The following is an 18,276-nucleotide window of genomic DNA, read 5'->3' on the forward strand; positions in this document are numbered from 1 at the left end:
TGAAATTTCTGGGGAATGTGGAGCCTTCTGCTTTGCATAAGGCAGGTCCTCGGCTTCTGTGCCTTCTTTGTGTCGATCTGGGCTGGTGCACTTTTGAACTCAGAGGAATGGTAATTCTCCACACCACTTCTGGTGGCCCCTATCTTTTTATCGTATTATCCTTTCTGAGTACCCTTCCTTTTTCCTTTAACTCTACAATCTCTTTCTGGGCTTTAGAACTGTCCTGTTACAAGGTTATCTTACATTATACCCATTATACAAGGGGATAAACTAAGAGACAGAAAGGTTAAGGGATTTATTTGCGATAGCCTATTAGAGTAAAGCCAGAGTTACATTTCTGTGGGGAAGATGAGGTCTTAAAAAGACGATAGCCATCAAGTAGTCCAGGGGTTGGCAAACTTTGTAAAGGATTGGATAGTAAATATTTTAGGCTTTGTAGGCTACATATCATCCCCATTACTGTTGTTGCTGCTGCTTTTCCTCCTCCACCTTTAAAAGAGTAAACAAACATTCTCAGCCCGCAGGCTGTACACATATAGTCCATGGGCCAAATTTGGACCAAAGTTTGCCAACCCTGAAGTACTTTAATCCTTTCAATGTATAGATGAGGTGACAAAAAGACAGATGAGTTTAGTGAGGCACCCAGGTGTCACCAAGTCTAGAGAGTGGTGGAGCTGGGCTAGACCTCAAGTTTCCTCAACATTTTTCTCTTTGCCGTAGTTCAATTTCTCAGACACTTGCCAATTGTAGGAAGTAGTTATTTACCTATTTAAATTCCAAAATGGGCCATTTGAAAGGCCATGGAGACTGAGGTACCAAAGTTGGTCTCCTCACCTCTGTATCTATGCTTGTCTCTTGCTTTTTAATGTAATTTTCACTGCCTAAGTCCAAAGATTGTTTGAGGTGGTGTAAAAAAGTACAAATAGTTCACAATAATAAATACATGATAAAAATCACGTGATACAAACAATGAAACAGGGAAATAGTAATGCTAACAGAAAGATTAGCAGTAAGTATTGAACTTTGCCTCTGGCTTCCTGATGCCTATAACAAAGAGAAGTTCATGGTCAGTCACAAAAGTCAGCGTTCACACATTTAAAATGAATCAGTTGTTTGTTGGAGCACATATTTTGTGATTTTAAGAACAAGTAGTCATTTCTCCAGGGGCTCTGTGTGAACAGTGCACTATATAAAGCCATGTTCAGGTTTTATGTCTCACAATTAGTACATATCAGGCTGCACTGTTTATTGGTTAGACCATGGCTTGTGGAGCTGACAACCTGTGTTGGAATCTCATTCTGGTACATTCTTGCAATATGAAATTGGCAAGTCCTTTGGCTTTTCTTATCCTCCATGTCCTTATCTGTGAAATGGGAACTAAGAATAGCTACCTGAGAGCTTGTGGTGAGGAATGGTAAATATACATAAAGCCTCTAGAAGAGACTGGCACATGATCAATTCAATGAGCAGTTACTATTATGATTGCTGCCTGTAGATTCTTGACTTGCATTTTGAAGGAGTGATGATTGTTAAAGCACAGACAACTCAGAACTGATTTGCTATTAGATGAATGCTTAATGATTCTTGGTAAATGCCTGAATATGAATGATTTGATGCTAGATGTTTCAAGTTTATGTATGAGACGATGGGATCTTATTTTTTTAGGAGGAATGGGCACCCATAGTCATATTAAAAAATAAAGCACATTTGATGTTGTTAAGGTAAAGCCCAACAAAGCCACAGCTGATATTTCATCTTGCAAATCTCGACCTTGAACTTATTTGTTCACTCTCTCTAATCTTCATACTTGGGTATAAGATAGAGAAAATACTCATGGAATAAGGACAACAATAATAAAAGCATTGCATTTGCATGTCAGCTTGATAGAGGTGAAAATAAAGAAGCTTATTTCAACTCAGTATTATCTTGCATGATTTGTATTAATGATATCGCAGCCTCAGTGTTTAAAGCCAAGTTTGGAAATTTGCAGATGCTACTAAATTATGAGAAAACAACAAATAATGAGGCACAACGTATTCTGATGGAGGAGAAATTTGCTCATTTGGGCACCTCAGGCTAATAGAGAGCTAATGGATGGCAAATACAGTTTGTTTAGATAAATGTCGAATAATGAGTTTTGAAACACAGACTAAAGGGAGGGAATGCCTAATGAACTGAAAGTGCTTTAGCACAATAAATCAAAGAATGTTGGTGTGTGAATAAAGGGGATGGTCTAAACGTGCAAACTCAAATTGTTTTTTCTTTTCAGCAAAGGGCAGAAATGGTCACCAGAAGTAAATAACACTTTTAACATGCAGTAATCAGCATTTCAGAGTGCAGAAATAGGAGGAACTTTGAAATCTGTCCTATGTGCATTTAATTTCTGCTCCTTTTCCAAAATTATACGATTTGGAGTAATTCTGTTGATCTACCTGAACTCCATTTTCTTCATCTGAAAATGAGAATAGTAGTATTTGTCAGGGCTATTGATATGGTGTTGTCAGGTGAACTGCATAAGGGTCTCTGGGCTGAGAGGCCATCACCCACATTGCAAATGTCATAGATTTGTCTAATACATTTATAGATTTGTCTAATACATATATATGTCTAATACATTTATAAAATACATTTGTCTAATACATTTAAGCACCATGCTCTTTATAGATAGACTCAAAGTTTCATGTTTGTTCATTTTGTTTGTTTTAATCAATATATACATAATAAAAACACTGCTGTATAGAGGCAAAATATGTTGAGGAAGGGGTACTTTTTTTCTTTTCTAAATTGCTAAAGGCACAACAGCAACTGGTGTGGGGGCTAAAGATTTCCTGGTTGGAGGCATGCACAGCCCCAGGGGGATGAGTTTTTGGGTGAGATGGGCACCAGCTGTGAAGGCACCTCTCTCCAGATTGGTGCTGCTCACTGATAAGAGATGACTGCTTTGCCAGGGGTCAGTGTGAGACTATGGAACAGTACAGGGAAAATCAAAACACTGGGAGCCACAGAAAGAATCCACCATGGTGGGCACTGCTGCCCTCAGTGCTCCTGTAGGATTTTACCTTTAAAAAGCTGCACTGCGTGTGTCTTTATAGTAGAATGATTTACAATCCCTTGGGTAAGACACATGCACACTTATGTTTATTGCAGCACTAGTACAATAGCAAAGACTTGGAATCAACCCAAATGTCCATCAATGATAGACTGGATAAAGAAAATGTGGCACACATACACCATGGAATACCATGCAGCCATGAAAAAGGATGAGTTCATGTCCTTTGCAGGGACATGGATGAAGCTGGAAACCATCCTTCTCAGCAAACTAACACATGAACAGAAAGCCAAGCACTGCATGTTCTCAGTCATAAGCGGGAGTTGAACAACGAGAACACATGGACATGAGGAGGGAAACATCACACACTGGGGCCTGTCATGGGGTGACGGGCTAGGGGAGGGAGAGCATTAGGACAAATATCTAATGCATGCGGGTCTTAAAAGCTAGATGACAGGTTGATAGGTGCAGCAAACCACCATGGCAGATGTATACCTATGTAACAAAGCTGCACATTCTGCACATGTATCCCAGAACTTAAAGTTAAAAAAAAAGCTGCACTGCAATTGCCAATTTCCTTATCTGGCTCTTTCCCTTTCCTGTGAGCTCCTTGGAAGGCTGGAAGCTAACCCTACTATCCCTCCTTCCACAGGAAAGTTCCTGAAGCCTGTGTGACACTTGGTACATTGTTTCTGAAAAAGTGAGGAATGAGTCTCTCTTCTGTTGCCTCCCATGGAGGTCAGTGTCATATTTCTAGGCTTAGTTATTTTAAATTGCCTTGATTTTTTGATTTTAATATGCATCTTTTTTTTTCTTCTATTCTGAATTTTTGGTTTGTGTCAGCCAACATTTATTGAATGCACAATGTATGACAATCATTTTCATGCTTTATTTTAATCTTTAGTTAATCTTTAACACTCTTATGAGATAAACATCGTTAGCCCCATTTTCTAGATGAATAAGTTGAGGCTTAGATAGAAAAATAGTAAATTGCTCAACATTGCATAGTGAGCAGATTGCAGAGGAGAGATTCAAAACTAAGTCCCCCTGTCTTCAAACTGCTCTTAAAGATTTTTCTCAGTGGGTCCCTGAACATTCTTTCCCGTGCTAGTCTCAAAAGTTATTCTAATATTTTCTTATTTTGCTCGACATACACAAACATGAAGTAATTACACCCCACTATTGCCTCATGTAGCTCCAAACATTCCAGTATCCTTGCCCTGTAAGTAAATCAACATTCACTATTTGTCTTTAGTTCCCATTTGTGCTTAGATGAATAACCTACTCTATTAGCCTGAATTTTTTTCATATTTTATATCTATTTTTCAAATCTCATTTATAGAAACATATGGGAGCCCTGCTGAAAGGATTATAGAAAAATCCCTTTGGGCAAGAGGTGTGCATGAAAAAATACAGTTTTATTTCATCACTCTCATGCAAAAATTTTCAATAGCTCCTTCTTGCCAATTTAATCAACTCAATTGCTGGCAACTTAGTATCCATTCTTTAGGGGACTAGACATTCATTTCTAAATGCACTTCCTTCATATTCTATGACACAAACTCCCTCACATGACCTTCACATGTCTAGCTCCCCAAGTAGCCTGTATGCTCTTCACAGATAGGAGGCATATCATATATATTCCAATGAACTATTTGGGGAACTGTATTCCCTAGCTCTGGGAAAATTGTTTTCCTCTCTGTGGCCCAGAGAAGCCAAATCTTCTTTTATTATTATTATTATTTATTTATTTATTATAGAGACAGAGTCTCGCTCTGTCACCCAGGCTAGAGTGCAGTGGCATGATCTTGACTCACTGCAACCTCCATCTCCCGGGTTCTAGCAATTCCCCTGCCTCAACCTCCCGAGTAGCTGGGACTACAGGAGCACACCACCATGCCGGGCTAATTTTTGATATTTTAGTAGAGACGGGGTTTCACCGTGTTCCCCAGGCTAGTCTCAAACTCCTGAACTCAGGCAATCCACCTGCCTCAGCCTCCCAAAGTGCTAGGATTACAGGTGTGAGCCAGTGTGTCCGGCCCCAAATCTTTTAACGTACTATTTTCTTTGTTGAACTGGACCATCTACTCATCTGCCATCCAAACATGACCTATTCCTAGTAATAACTCGAATTTGGGTATTCTTTTAGAGCTTGGAAAGCATGTTTACATATATTATCTCCTCAGATTCTCACCGTATCCCTATGAGAAAAATATTTTAAGCATTTTTATTTTTCAGATGAGAAAGGTAGAGGTTACCTGATGTGTCCAGGGACTGCCAAACTAATGAAGGCTTTGGATGGGATCCTGACACAGACGTTGTGATTCTAAAGTCCACATTCTAAAGCACTGTCACACTATCCTACCCCAATTCCATCCACCACAGAGATGTTGCTTTCTAATCGTCCTCTCAACCTCTATACACTTTGATAGCATCAAGAAGTTTTTATCATATTAACAACCAAATAAATGCACAAAGTGAAACAGTATGCATATTCTGAAAATACAGATTAAGACAAATCTTTTCCTCTCCCATTCCCCTCGCCACTCTCACCTTGGAACCAAGCCCCACTGTAAGGACATGCTGGCGCCCCAGAGCCTGTGTGGTCCTTAGCATGCACCACCTTGCAGGAATGAGCTGGCCCTTTGTCCATTGTTTCCCTATGCTCTACTTGAAGAACAGTAAAGACAGCCTCTGAAGCACATTCAGTTGACCCTTGGACATCGCAGGGTTTGGGGGACTGCCCCAACCCGGTCAAAAATTCACACATAAATTTTGACTTCCGGCCAGGCGCAGTGGCTCACGCCTGTAATCCCAGCACTTTGGGCGGCCGAGGCGGGAGGATCACGAGGTCAGGAGATCGAGACCATCCTGGCTAACACGGTGAAACCCCGTCTCTACTAAAAATACAAAAAATTAGCCAAGCATGGTGACGTGCACCTGTAGTCCCAGCTACTTGGGAGGCTGAGGCAGGAGAATGGCATGAACCCGGGAGGCGGAGCTTGCCGTGGGCCGAGATGGCGCCACTGCACTCCAGCCTGGGCGACAGAGCGAGACTCCGTCTCAAAAAAAATAAATAAATAGATAAAAAAACAAAAAAGCCTTTGACTCCCGAAAAACTTAACTACTATTAATAATAGCCTATTATCGGCCAGAAGCCTCAGTGATCACGTAAACAGTTGATTAACACATATTTGTGTTATATGTATTATTTGCTCTATTCTTACAATAAAGAAGGTTACAGTAAAGAAAATGATACTAAGGAAATCAAAAGGAAGACAACATATATTTATTATTTATTACCTGGAAGTAGGACATCATAAAGGTCCTCATCCTCATTGTTTTCATGCTGAGTAGGCTTAGAAGGAAGAGGGGGGAATTGGTCTTGATATGCAGGGGTGGCAGAAGTGGAAGAAAATCTGGGTATAAGTAGATCCATGCAGTTCTGACCTGTGTTGTTCAAGGGTGAACTGTACTCACAGTGCGGGTGGAAGGATCAACACAACTTAGGACATAACAGCTAATTGCTTTACTGAACATATACTATGGGCTAGAGATGGTTCTGATGATATTACGTGTAGTAAATCATAATCCTGAAGACAACCCTAAGAAGTAGTGTCCCATTATTTCCCCCATTTTACAGATGAGGAAACTGAGGCACAGGTAAAAAAAATTCCAGGGGCACAACTAGTGTTAGATTTGGGTTATATCTTCAGGCAAGCCCACCAGAGCCTGAGCCGTACTCTCTGTGTCTGGCGTTGAGAAAAAACAAACAAACAAACAAACAACTGATAAGATGCCAGCTTGAGAAATGGCGTAGAGCTTCAGTCTGACTTTATGCCTCTGGGAAACATCAGAAAGGGGGATAAAGTGTCAGGAACTCCACTGCAGTGATATCACCTACATGAGGAAATTGATCCTGTGGACGCAGCATCACTTACCAGCCTGAAGACACTGCACCAACTGCCTGATTAACAGCAATAATGATAATAATACTAACATCCACCATTTATTGACAAATTCCTATTACTGTCAATGTCTCCCTATTGTTATAAATTAAGCCCAAGCTCCTTTGTGCAGTGCTCAAGGACCTTCGTAACACAAGATCTGCCTATTTCTTCAGACTCATGCCGCATATATCCATCCTCACACTGTAAGCTCCAGTGATATTGATGGGTTCATTGCTCCTCTGCACCCTTCAATTTCAGGGCTTCACTTACACTCTTCTCCCATCTTGAACGTCCTTTATGCTCTCTACACCTACGCAACTCTTTCAGCCTTGATTCAACTATTCCCATATCCAGGAAGACTCCGCATAGCACACAGCTTAGGTGAAATACCACTCCTCTGGGTCTCTAGAGCAGGAAGGGTTTACATCTGTCTTCATATTTACTGACTATAATAACTACCTCAGTTTGTACATCTAACATTCACCAAGTATTGAAATTCTGAGGGCAAAATCTGTCATATTCACCTGTACCCTATTGTCCAGCACAGCACCTGCACAGGCTGTGTCAAAAAGTGACAGTTGGCATTGTGTATCAGACCCTGGGTATGGCACCTTGAATCCAGTTCTAATCTCAGTATAACCTACGAGTTTGAGATTATCGAGCCGTATGTACTAGTTCATTCTCGCATTGCCATAAAGAAATATCTGAAACTGGGCAATTTATGAAGAAAAGAGGTTTGATTGGCTCACAGTTCTGCAGGCTGTATAGGAAGAATGGCAGCATCTGCTTCCAGTGAGACCTAAGGGAGCTTTTACTCATGGAGGGAGGCAGAAGAGGGGCAGGCACCTTACGTGGCAGGAACAGGACCAAGAGAACAAGGCGGGGGGCAGGGGGTGCCACACACTTTTCAAAAACCAGATCTCATGAAAACTCTATCACAAGAACAGGACCAAATGGTTGGTGCTAAGTCATTAATGAGACCTCCATCCATCTGATCCAATCACTTCCCACAAAGCCCACTTCCAACACTGGAGATGACAGTTTGACATGAGATTAGGTGGGGACATAGATCCAAACCATATCACTGTATTAGGTCATTTTTGCATTGCTATAAAGAAATAACTGAGACTGGGTAATTTATAAGAAAAGAAGTTTAATTTTTCTCACCGTTATGCAGCTTCTGCTTTTGGGGAGGCCTCAGGAAGCTTCCAATCATGGTGGAAGGAAAAGCAGGAGCAGGCACTTCACATGGCAAAAGCAGGGATACGAGGGGCGGAGGGGCGACACATTTTTAAACAACCAGAGCACATGATAAGTCACTATCTCAGGGACAGCACCAAGAAGATGGTGCTAAACTGCTCATGAGAGTTCACCCCTGTGACTCAAACTCCTCCCACAAGGCTCTACCTCCAACATTGAGGACTACAATTCAACATGGCATTTGGGCGAGGACAAATATACAAACTATATCACAAACCTACTTTGCTTGTGAAAAAATATGAGCTCAGAAAAATAAAGTAATATACTCAAAACTGCATATAATAACTAATACGTATAATAAGAAGTGTTCAATTCAGGATTCAAATCTAGCATTGTTCAGAGTCTGGAATTTTTTTTCTAGGTCTGTATTCTCTATCACACTAACTGTCTCCTTAAGAATAAAGTAAAGTTGGCTGAGCACAGTGGCTCACGCTCATAATTCCCGAACTTTGGGAGGTTGAGGCAGGTGGATCATTTGAGGCCAGAAGTTTGAGACCAGCCTAGCCAACATAGCAAAGCCTCGTCTCTACAAAAATACAAAAATTAGCCAGGCATGGTGGCATGTGCCTGTAATCCCAGCTACTGGGGAGGCTGAGGCACTAGAATCATTTGAACCTGGGAGGCAGAGATTGCAGTGAACTGAGATCACACCACTGTACTACAGCCTGGGCAAAAAAGTGAGACTCTGTCTCAAAAAAAAAAAAAAAAAAAAAGAATAAGATAAAGTTGATGTTTGGGAAACTGAGCAGAAAAAGCAACAATCAAGATTCTCAATTCTTAATTCATGATTCCTGAATCGATGCACTTGAAAAAGAGAAAAAAGGATCAGCTTTGGGAATGTGTTAAACACTCACTTCTGAACACCCATGGTTTATCTAGAAAGTGAAAGGACCCATAGAACTTGGTCAACCCTTGATCACGACAGATATTGAGGAGATATGCGAATGCTTGGAAGATTCACAATAATCATGTTGCTCAGGAACATGAAAATAATTATAGGTGACATTTTTAATCACTTACATAAGATGTAGATGGCTTTATGTGATTTACTATATAATATATTCCTTATAACAAAATATGCCATCATCATTTTTAGATGAAAAAGCTAAGATAAATTAAATAATTTCTGCAAGTTTGTCTTCTGCTCACTAAGTAGAAGACCTCAGACTCAAGCCCAGTCTGATTTCAGATCCCACGCTCATTAATAAGAATCCTTCCTTGTCTGGCTACTGTTGACCTCTAATTAGGTGCTCACCTACATTAACCTGGAGGAACAAAGCTGGAAAGGGGCACAAGAATCCTAGGCAAGAGTAGGGAAGGGACGGTGCAACCAGACAAGGCAGGCATATTTGAAGGTGGTTTAGGAATTTACATCACGAATCCCAAACATCCATGGAGACCTCCTTTTAACACATGACTTGGCCCAGAGGTAGGCAGTAAAGAGCAAGTTCAGATAAGGCTTTTTCCCTGCTTATAAAAAACATCTGCAAGTTAAAAGTTGAAAAGTTATTTATTTCAGCTATTCACTCACTTCAGCCCCAATCAGCACATGCCTCAGAATATCTGGAGACTGTGCTAATACACTCTTGACATTTGGACTAAGACAGAGACTGCAATTCAATGTTAACAACCTGGGGTACCTAAATGGCCATTCCACATTGATCACTTATTTCAGGCATTTCTCCAAATAGAAAAGGTTGATTTTATCAGACATTCACTCTTCTTAATGTGGATCAGTAGTTCTGTCTCATACCAGCCGTAGCCGCCTGGTGCCTGACTTGCCCCTCTCACAGGCTGGTGGGGTTGCTGACAGCGTATCACTGATTTTCCACAACCAGCTCCAGAGACACTTGCCCACACATCTTCTAGGAACCATTGCAGATGTGGCTCTATGACCTCCCCATAAACTGAACTCCTAAATGCTGAGGCTTCCAGATTCCCTCCACCACCCCCTGAACCAGAATTAAATATTAAAGAAGTAAAATACATTGTATTTTTTAAAGCAACCTTTGCGTTGTCCTTTGCAAATATTAAAAGCAATGCCACTGGCACAGGAACTAATCCAAGTCCCTGGGGCCACTTTTCAAAGAAAGAAAAGAGTAATAGTAAGTAAACCTCTAAATGAAATAAAGGAAGAAACTCCAGCTAAAATTGCTGAATAATAAAATAAAGACATGTAAATCATCCTCGGGGGATAATTTTCTCCTCGATCCTGGCTGATTTTGCAGATGAAAGGAACACAGCGCCAGAAGTTCAGCGACCAGGCTCTTCATCCCACTCTGCCCATTCATTGGCTTTGTAGCCTCACTTCAGGCAAGTCACTCAATCTCTTTGGAGCTCAGTTTATGCTTCTGCTGTAGAGAAATGATAACACCAACAGAAGTCACAGAGGCGGACCTGGAAGCAATGAGAAAGCTAACTATTTTCTGCCTTTCTCTCTGCCCTCATCACATAAATTCAAATAAGCCCCGTGCTCCAGTTCCAATAAAGGAGTCTCCTCCTCCCGGGAAAGCTGGTTTCTCCATCTGCGCTTGTGAACCCACCTCCCGTTCCTGTGGGGGCATCTGGCCTGAGCTTCGGTCTATATCTATGAAGTGGGATTAAAAATAATGCCTGCCTCACAGCGATGTTGTGAGGATAAATGAGCTGAATCAGGTAAAGCACTTAAGACAGTGGTTGGTACATGCAAAGTACACAATAAATATTAGCTCTTCTTATGTGTGGCTCTTATTTATCCACATATAAGAAATTTTCAAGTGTCTTTCATCTGAAATACCTGAATATCTAAACATAGTTCAGTCATGCACCACATCACAACATTACAGCGAATGGACCACATATACAACGGTGTTTCTGCAAGATTATAACAGAGCTGGAAAATTCCTCCTGCCTAATGACATCTTGATGATCCTAACCCGTGTGTGTGTTTGTATCTTAGTTTGTAACAAGAATGTTTCAAAAGTTAAAAAAAATTAACAGTTAGTTAAAAATAGAAAAAAGTCTTACAAAATAAGAATTATAAAATATTTTGTATAGTGGGGCAATGTGTCTGTGTTTTAAGCTCAGTGCCGTTACAAAAGAATCAAAAAGTGAAATAAAATTAAAAACTGTGTAAAGTAAACATGTTATAGTAAGCTGCAGTTAATTTATGATTGAAGAATAATTTTTTAAAATAAGTGTAGGGTAGGCTAAGTGTACAGTGTTTATAAGGCCTACAGCAGTGTAGAGTGATGTCCTAGGCCTTCACATTCACTCTCCCATCACTCACTGAGTCACCGAGAGCAACTTCTAGCCCTATAAGCTCCATTCATGGTAAATGCCCAATACAAGTGTACCATTTTTTATTTTATGCTCTATTGTTACTATACCTTTTCCATGTTTAGCTATGTTAAAATACACAAATGCCATTGTGTTACAATTGACTATAGTATTCAGTCCAGCAACATGGTGTATAGGTTTGTAGCCTAGGAGCAATAAGCTGTGCCATAAAGCCTAGGTCTGTAGTAGGCTATACTGTCTAGATGCGTGTAAGGACACACTGATGTTCAATTACAAAATCACCTAATGTCACACTTCTTAGAACAGATCTCCGTTGTTAAGTGAGGCATGACTGTATATTAAGTTATATTATATATAACTTAACCATTATATATGTTATTAAAATATAGTTAATAATAGATATATATAAATAAATTTATATAATATAAATATAATTTATATATTACATATGAATCTGTATTTCTATATAGATTATATATTATATAATTTAAGCATTATATATGTTATTAAAATATAGTTAATCATAATAATATATGTACTGCATATGAATTATATATTTATATATTATAAATATATGTATACATTATACATAAATCTATATTATATATAGATTATGTATATAGTTCTCTCTTAACCTCTTCTGACTTGTATCCTCCTCTAGATACTACCTCATTTCTCAACTTTCCTATACAACCAAACTTCTTGACCAAGTGATCAACATTTACAATCTTTATTTTTCTTTCATTTTTGAAGGAAAAAATAAAAGTATCATAAACTCCATGTATGTATCACACATTCCATCATCAACTCCATACCTCACCAACTTTCTGTTCTCTACATTATTTTGAGGCAAATTATTGACATATTATTTTTCCATAAATATCAGTAAGTGTCATTGAGAAATTTTTTTCTCCTCTATTTTTTGAATTTCCACTCACTCTTGAACATGTAGACACACATCTATTCTAGACACCAATTAGATAGATAGAGCAGTGATCATCTGGGCAATACTGAATGCCCTCCCTTAACACTCCATATTCTGCCTCATTTTCCCCATTTATGAAAAGGTTTTTTTGTTTTGCTTTGTTTTTGTTTTCAGGTAAGTTTGCTAATGATTTCCCGACTGTCAAATCCAATGAACATTTTTTAGTCCTATATCGTATAGTGTTACTTATATGGCAAAGTAAAGCACTTTCCTATAATTTTATTGTCTCCTCCCACCCCACTCTGAACACTTGCAGAACGCATTACCATGAGTGGACTCTGATGGTTGATATAAATAACAGAAGCTTTAGAACTTACACACAATTCTCCTGGCCCAGCACTAGTTCCACTCCATGACTTTCCCATTCAAAACAGCATAGGAGCCTATCATGCTGACAGCTTTGGTAGCTGGTACTCGGGTTGCTGTTGTCCTTGTTTTTATTTGTTTTTGAGTAATTAATACATTTATATTATACACAGTTAGAAATGTGCATAATCATATACAGTTAAAGTTTCCTGACATCTTGTCCCTTAGAAAACCAAGTCCCCTCCCTCGGACCAACCACTTTTCAGGCTGCTGTATGTCCTTCAGAGCTGCTCTACACATATATAAGCATATAAAGACCTCCTCCCTCCTTTTTAATACACACCTATTAGCATACAAATGCACTGTTCTGCACCTTGCTTTTCCACTTAGCAATAAATCTTACTGATCTCTTCAGATCAGTGCATGAAACACTTCATTCCTTTTGAGGATGCACAGTATTAAATTGTGTGGGTGTATCATAATCTCTTCAGCCAATCTTCCACTAATAGACATTTAGACTGTGACTAATCACTGCCATTAAAAACAATGTTGCAGTAAATAACTTTGCATACCTGACATTTTGCAAATGTTTGAATACATGTATAAGAAATTTCTAGAAGTGTTATTGCTGAATTAAAACATATGAAAACTTGTCATTTTTTGAGAGATAGTGCCATATTGTCCAACAGAGAATTTGCACCGATGTACACTCCAATCAGTGAAAAGAGTGGCATTTTCCTAATACTTTCATGTAAATACTGCTTATTAATTTTTCTGACCTACTCAAGTCCAATTAATAAAAAACAATATCTTGGACTAATTATTTAGCATTATCTATCAGCCTTGCTTTATCTAGATTTTTAAAATTTTAACTGTTATTGTTCATTGTTGCCATTTTTCTAGATATTATGCATATTTTTGGTATTCATTATTTATACTTTAACCTGGTGGTTGTTTTAACATATTGTGGTAGTTTTGTTTTTGTTGTTATTTAATTTCCAGGTAGTAGAATAAATGGATTTTCTGGCTTTTATATTGATTTTAGTTTTACCCCACCGTGACCAGATAATGTTGTCTGCATTATTTCCATGTTTGAGAACATATTGATGCTTTCCTAGTGATTATTTTTTTGAGAATTTTCAATGGATCATCTGAAAAATGTTTAATCTCACCTATTAGTCTACGGAGGGTAACTATATATCTATTACATCTCATTTTTAAACCATATTGCTTAAATCTTTTGTATATGTTTTTTATTCATTTAATCTTTCATGAAATGGAAAAGGAGAATTGAAATCTACGATTACTTTATTTCTGTGTATTTCTCCAGATACTGCTTTTTTTTTTCTTTATACAAGTTATCATTGCAGGAATTAGGCCTACACAAAAGTGCAAGAGGTGGGGAAGTGAAGGTCTAGAAGTAGACTAAGGATTCGAGAAGGTGTCCTCACTAACCACTTGTGATAAAAAATTAAATAAATATGTGGGCTTTGTCTCTAGTTCCTGACATACAGCTCCTAAAGTCCTTAGAATCTGCAGAGTTCTGTGCCTTTGGTGTGCCAACAAGTTACTGGTGGCTGGAGCACCCTGGATAGATGCAGGATGGAGGCTGGGCACCAGCAAGTCCTAGGCATGGTTGGAATTATAGCACTTTAAGCCCGACCTCCCAACCTCTGGGCAGAGGAAAGAGGGTAGAGATTGAGTTAACCATTAATGGCCAATGAACTGATCAAGGATGCCTATGAAATTAAACCTCCATTAAAGCCTGTAAAGGGGTTTGGAAAGCATCTGTGTCAGTGAGCGCTTTGGGGTGCTGAGAGGTGGCATATCCCAAAAAGCCATGAAGACTCTACCCCTTCACCCATTCTTTTCCGAATGCAGCTCCTCCATTTGGATGTTCCTCAGCTATGTCCTTGAACATAAATCAGTTACATTAAGTAAAGTGCTTACTTGAGTTCTGTGAGCCATTCTGGCAAATTATAGAAACTGAGGAGGGGTTTGTGGAAACCCCCATATATATAGCTGGTCAGTCAGAATTGCTAGTGACAACCTGAGGCTTGGGGCTGGCACTTGAAGCTGGAGCCATCGTATGGGACTGAGTCCTTAACCTGTGGGATCTGACACTGACTCCAGGTAGATACTGTCAGAATTGAGTTGAATTGTTCAACAACCATTGGTGCCTAGAGACTTGAAAATTGATTGGTGTGAGGGAAAAAAAACCCAGACATTTGGTGTCAGAAGCGTTGTGAATAAAACAGTTCAGATCAGTGCTCCTGAAGCACCAGTGTGGTGGACAAGTGGGAGCTTTCAGGCATGTCTGAGAAGCCAGCACATCCAACCACGTAGGCAGGACTGTGAAATGAGAGCTCAGGGAGAAAGAGAGCTGGTGCTGTTGTGCAGTGATTACCTTTGTGGGTCTGAAACTAACCTCTGATGATGGGCTTGGGACCACTATGCTCTCAGGGCTGGCAGTGAGGAAGAAAAGCTGGACCTGGAATTGAGAACAATGAGGGCTATTGGAAACCACTGCGTCTATCTTTGTCCCTGACCATGAAGACCTTCCAGAGGCATCCAGACCACATTTTGAATCTTCTTCAAGTGAACTTTTTGTCTCCCAGAACCATATAGGAAAGGGAAATCTGGAAAATGAATTTTCTAGCTTAACAAGGTTGACTCAGTACAACACAACTCACCTTTGCTCATTATGATATTCCAAACTTTCTGAATCACTTGTTATAGATGTGTCTCCTACATACAGTATAGAGTTTAGATTTGATTTTGTCTAATCTTGGATTTTTTAAATTTTAATAGGTGAGTTCAGTTATATTGATTAGATTGTGTAGTAGAAAGTTATGCTTTTAGTTAATCAAATTTTTTGTTACAGTATTTCCTCTGGTGACTGTATCAAAATAATTCAAGTAGACTGTATGTTCTTGGCTTTGTGCTAGCAATGTGTGTGAACCCAAAATATCTGAGACAGGTCTTTACCAATTTAGAAAGTTTATTTTGTCAAGGTTAAGGATGCACATGCATGACACAGCCTCAGGAAGCCCTGATGACCTGTGCCCAAGGTGACTGAGGTACAGCTTGCTTTTATACATTTTAGGAATATATGAGGTATCAATCAATATATGTAAGATGTGCATTGGTTCTGTCTGGTAGCTGGGACAACTTGTAGTGGTTGGGGACTTCCAGGTCATAGCTAGATAAAAGACAAAAGGTTGCATTATTTTGAGTCCTTGATCTACCTTTCACTGAATACACAATTTAGTTGAGCATAGTGAATCTGCATTTTTACATAAACAGTGGGGCAGAAGAAACAGTCAGATATGCATTTGTCTCAGGTGAGCAGAGCGATGGCTGTCTGTCCTGCACCTGTGAAGATTAGCTGCTGGTTTACATTGCCAGGGTGAAATTGCACAAAAGTATTTTAGGGTAAAAATCTTGAGGCCCACAAGGAATTTTAACCTTAGAGCTCTAACTTCATATAATATCCTTAATCCTCTCTCTCTTTAAACATTATCTGTTGACTTCTGGTTATGAGCAATGATTAAATTAATAGCTTTCCTCTCACTTGCAACTGTCACCTGATCTTATTTTATTATGTTCTCTTTCTCAGTGTTTACCTTTGTAATATTAAATAGGCTTACCCTTCTACTACTTCAAATGTTATTGCTTAGGGACCATCAATAGAAGACGAGCAGCCCGGAAGACACTTCCTCCCACTTCTCACCCCTTTGCCCTCTCAGGCCATCTCTCTGTCTCGTTAATATTTGTAACAGAGTTTGCACGTATGATACTGTTGCTCCCGTGCTCTGTGCCATGTCTCAGAAAAGGAAGGTAAAATGCCTACGTTCCTCTCTCATGTGCACATTAGAAGTATATGGGAAGCTTTGAATGTGTTCAAAGTTAATGATTTCCAAATTTAGTCACTTAGATAATATTATTTTCTAACGTTTATTTGCCACACAGCAAGATAATTTTAGCCACCCACTGGTTTGTAGAAACCCTTCACTGGAGAACCACTTGTCCAGTACAGATATAACAGCAACTTCCTTAAGACATTTCAGAAACCAGAAAGTGATCAATTATTTTTTATCTAACTTGAGTTTATAAGGCTCATGTGTGCTCCTTACAGGGGATATTCTTAGACTGTCATTCATGCCCCTATCCTCATCATATTCCCACAATTCTAGTAAACCACAGCTTATTACTGAGACACTATCACATTGAAACCCTAACATAAGAGCTTTCCAGAGATAAATTAAGTAGGAGCATACATCCTGGGAGCAAGCAAGTGGATCCCAAAAAGCACAGAGATGTGAGGTCTTCAATCACGGGCAGCTTCCTGAGCCGGCAGCCAGTGAGGTCACATAAGGCCCCTTGCTCCAAAGGGTCCCTGATTGAAAATCTTTGAAATAATTAATTTTGTATTTAAATTTGTGCTTTTTAACTGATGTCCCAGGGGAAAAAGGGGCACACACTGAGGCCTCAAACCCTTGCCTCACAGGTAGATTTTAGGCTCCCAGCTTCTCTGCCTCTGGATGCCCCAAACCCCACTCAGCCCTCACCTCACACAGTGATAGCTGCCATCCTGTACTCGAGGCGAGGCCCAGGCACACACACAGGTAGAGTTGGGGATGGTTACACATCCCCATAGCATCTTCATGTGGGGCATGACAGAGCTGTCCCTTGCCAGGCTGGAAATACCAGGACACATGAGGTAGGCGCATCAGTAGTGGCAAGCCTCTTGCCCACCCTTGGTTCAGATAACAAGCGTATCCTGGAACAAAAGTTGTGGTCCTTCAGGGAATACCCATCCTTCTTGGACTGGGAAGCTGGTACCTGGAAACCAGAGACCGATTTCCCTGCCTGGGGACAGGGCATCTGTCAGGTAGCTCACAGAAGGGATAAACAGACAGCTGGTGAGCCACAGGTGTGGCTGGCTACATCACAGGGCTGACCCCCATGCACCTTGGTAGCCCCTTGCCTGATAGGGTATAATGTTAAATAGCAGGTAAATAACACCATGACAAGTCAACAGAGATACCAGGAAGAAAGTAAAATATGTGCATATGGAATTTTGCACTATTAACGGCACTTTATTCTGGTTTTTGAACAAAGGATCTGCATTTTTATCTTACATTGAGCTCCTCAAATAAAGTGGTTAGTCCTAGAAGTAATTTAAGTACAAGACAATCTTACCAATGGCTCTAGCTATTAGGGCATAACTTCACAAAATTACAACAAGTGCTCACAAGTACTATTGTAGGCTATTCTAAGTAGGCCACACATGTGTTCAGTCCTACTTAGGGATTAAAGGCATATCAACCACTTTTTTGGGGTATTTACTTGCTTCAGGAGGTCCAATCATTTGCAGATTTGCAGAATACTTCTCCAGGTTGTGATTCTTTTGCTGTGAGCTCAGTGGAAGCCTCTGTAAACCT

At 39.7% G+C, this 18,276-nt stretch overlaps 1 protein-coding gene across 3 annotated transcripts in view, besides 2 other annotated features; it reads left to right on the forward strand.

Moving 5' to 3' along the window:
- The window catches only part of CNTNAP5 (contactin associated protein family member 5), an 895,933-nt gene that overhangs the window by 66,627 nt on the left and 811,030 nt on the right, over nt 1-18,276 (forward strand). The window lies entirely within an intron of this gene.
- Nucleotides 5,484-5,988: an enhancer, noted in NCBI's record as "H3K4me1 hESC enhancer chr2:124854974-124855478 (GRCh37/hg19 assembly coordinates)". NCBI's record gives its function as "activates a minimal SCP1, AML or CMV promoter by ChIP-STARR-seq in primed H9 embryonic stem cells {active_cell/tissue: H9 hESC(primed)}" and the evidence as "EXISTENCE:reporter gene assay evidence [ECO:0000049][PMID:30033119]".
- Nucleotides 5,989-6,492: an enhancer, noted in NCBI's record as "H3K4me1 hESC enhancer chr2:124855479-124855982 (GRCh37/hg19 assembly coordinates)". NCBI's record gives its function as "activates a minimal SCP1, AML or CMV promoter by ChIP-STARR-seq in primed H9 embryonic stem cells {active_cell/tissue: H9 hESC(primed)}" and the evidence as "EXISTENCE:reporter gene assay evidence [ECO:0000049][PMID:30033119]".

The sequence above is a fragment of the Homo sapiens genome, chromosome 2, assembly GCF_000001405.40.
Source record: "Homo sapiens chromosome 2, GRCh38.p14 Primary Assembly".
NCBI lineage: Eukaryota > Metazoa > Chordata > Mammalia > Primates > Hominidae > Homo > Homo sapiens.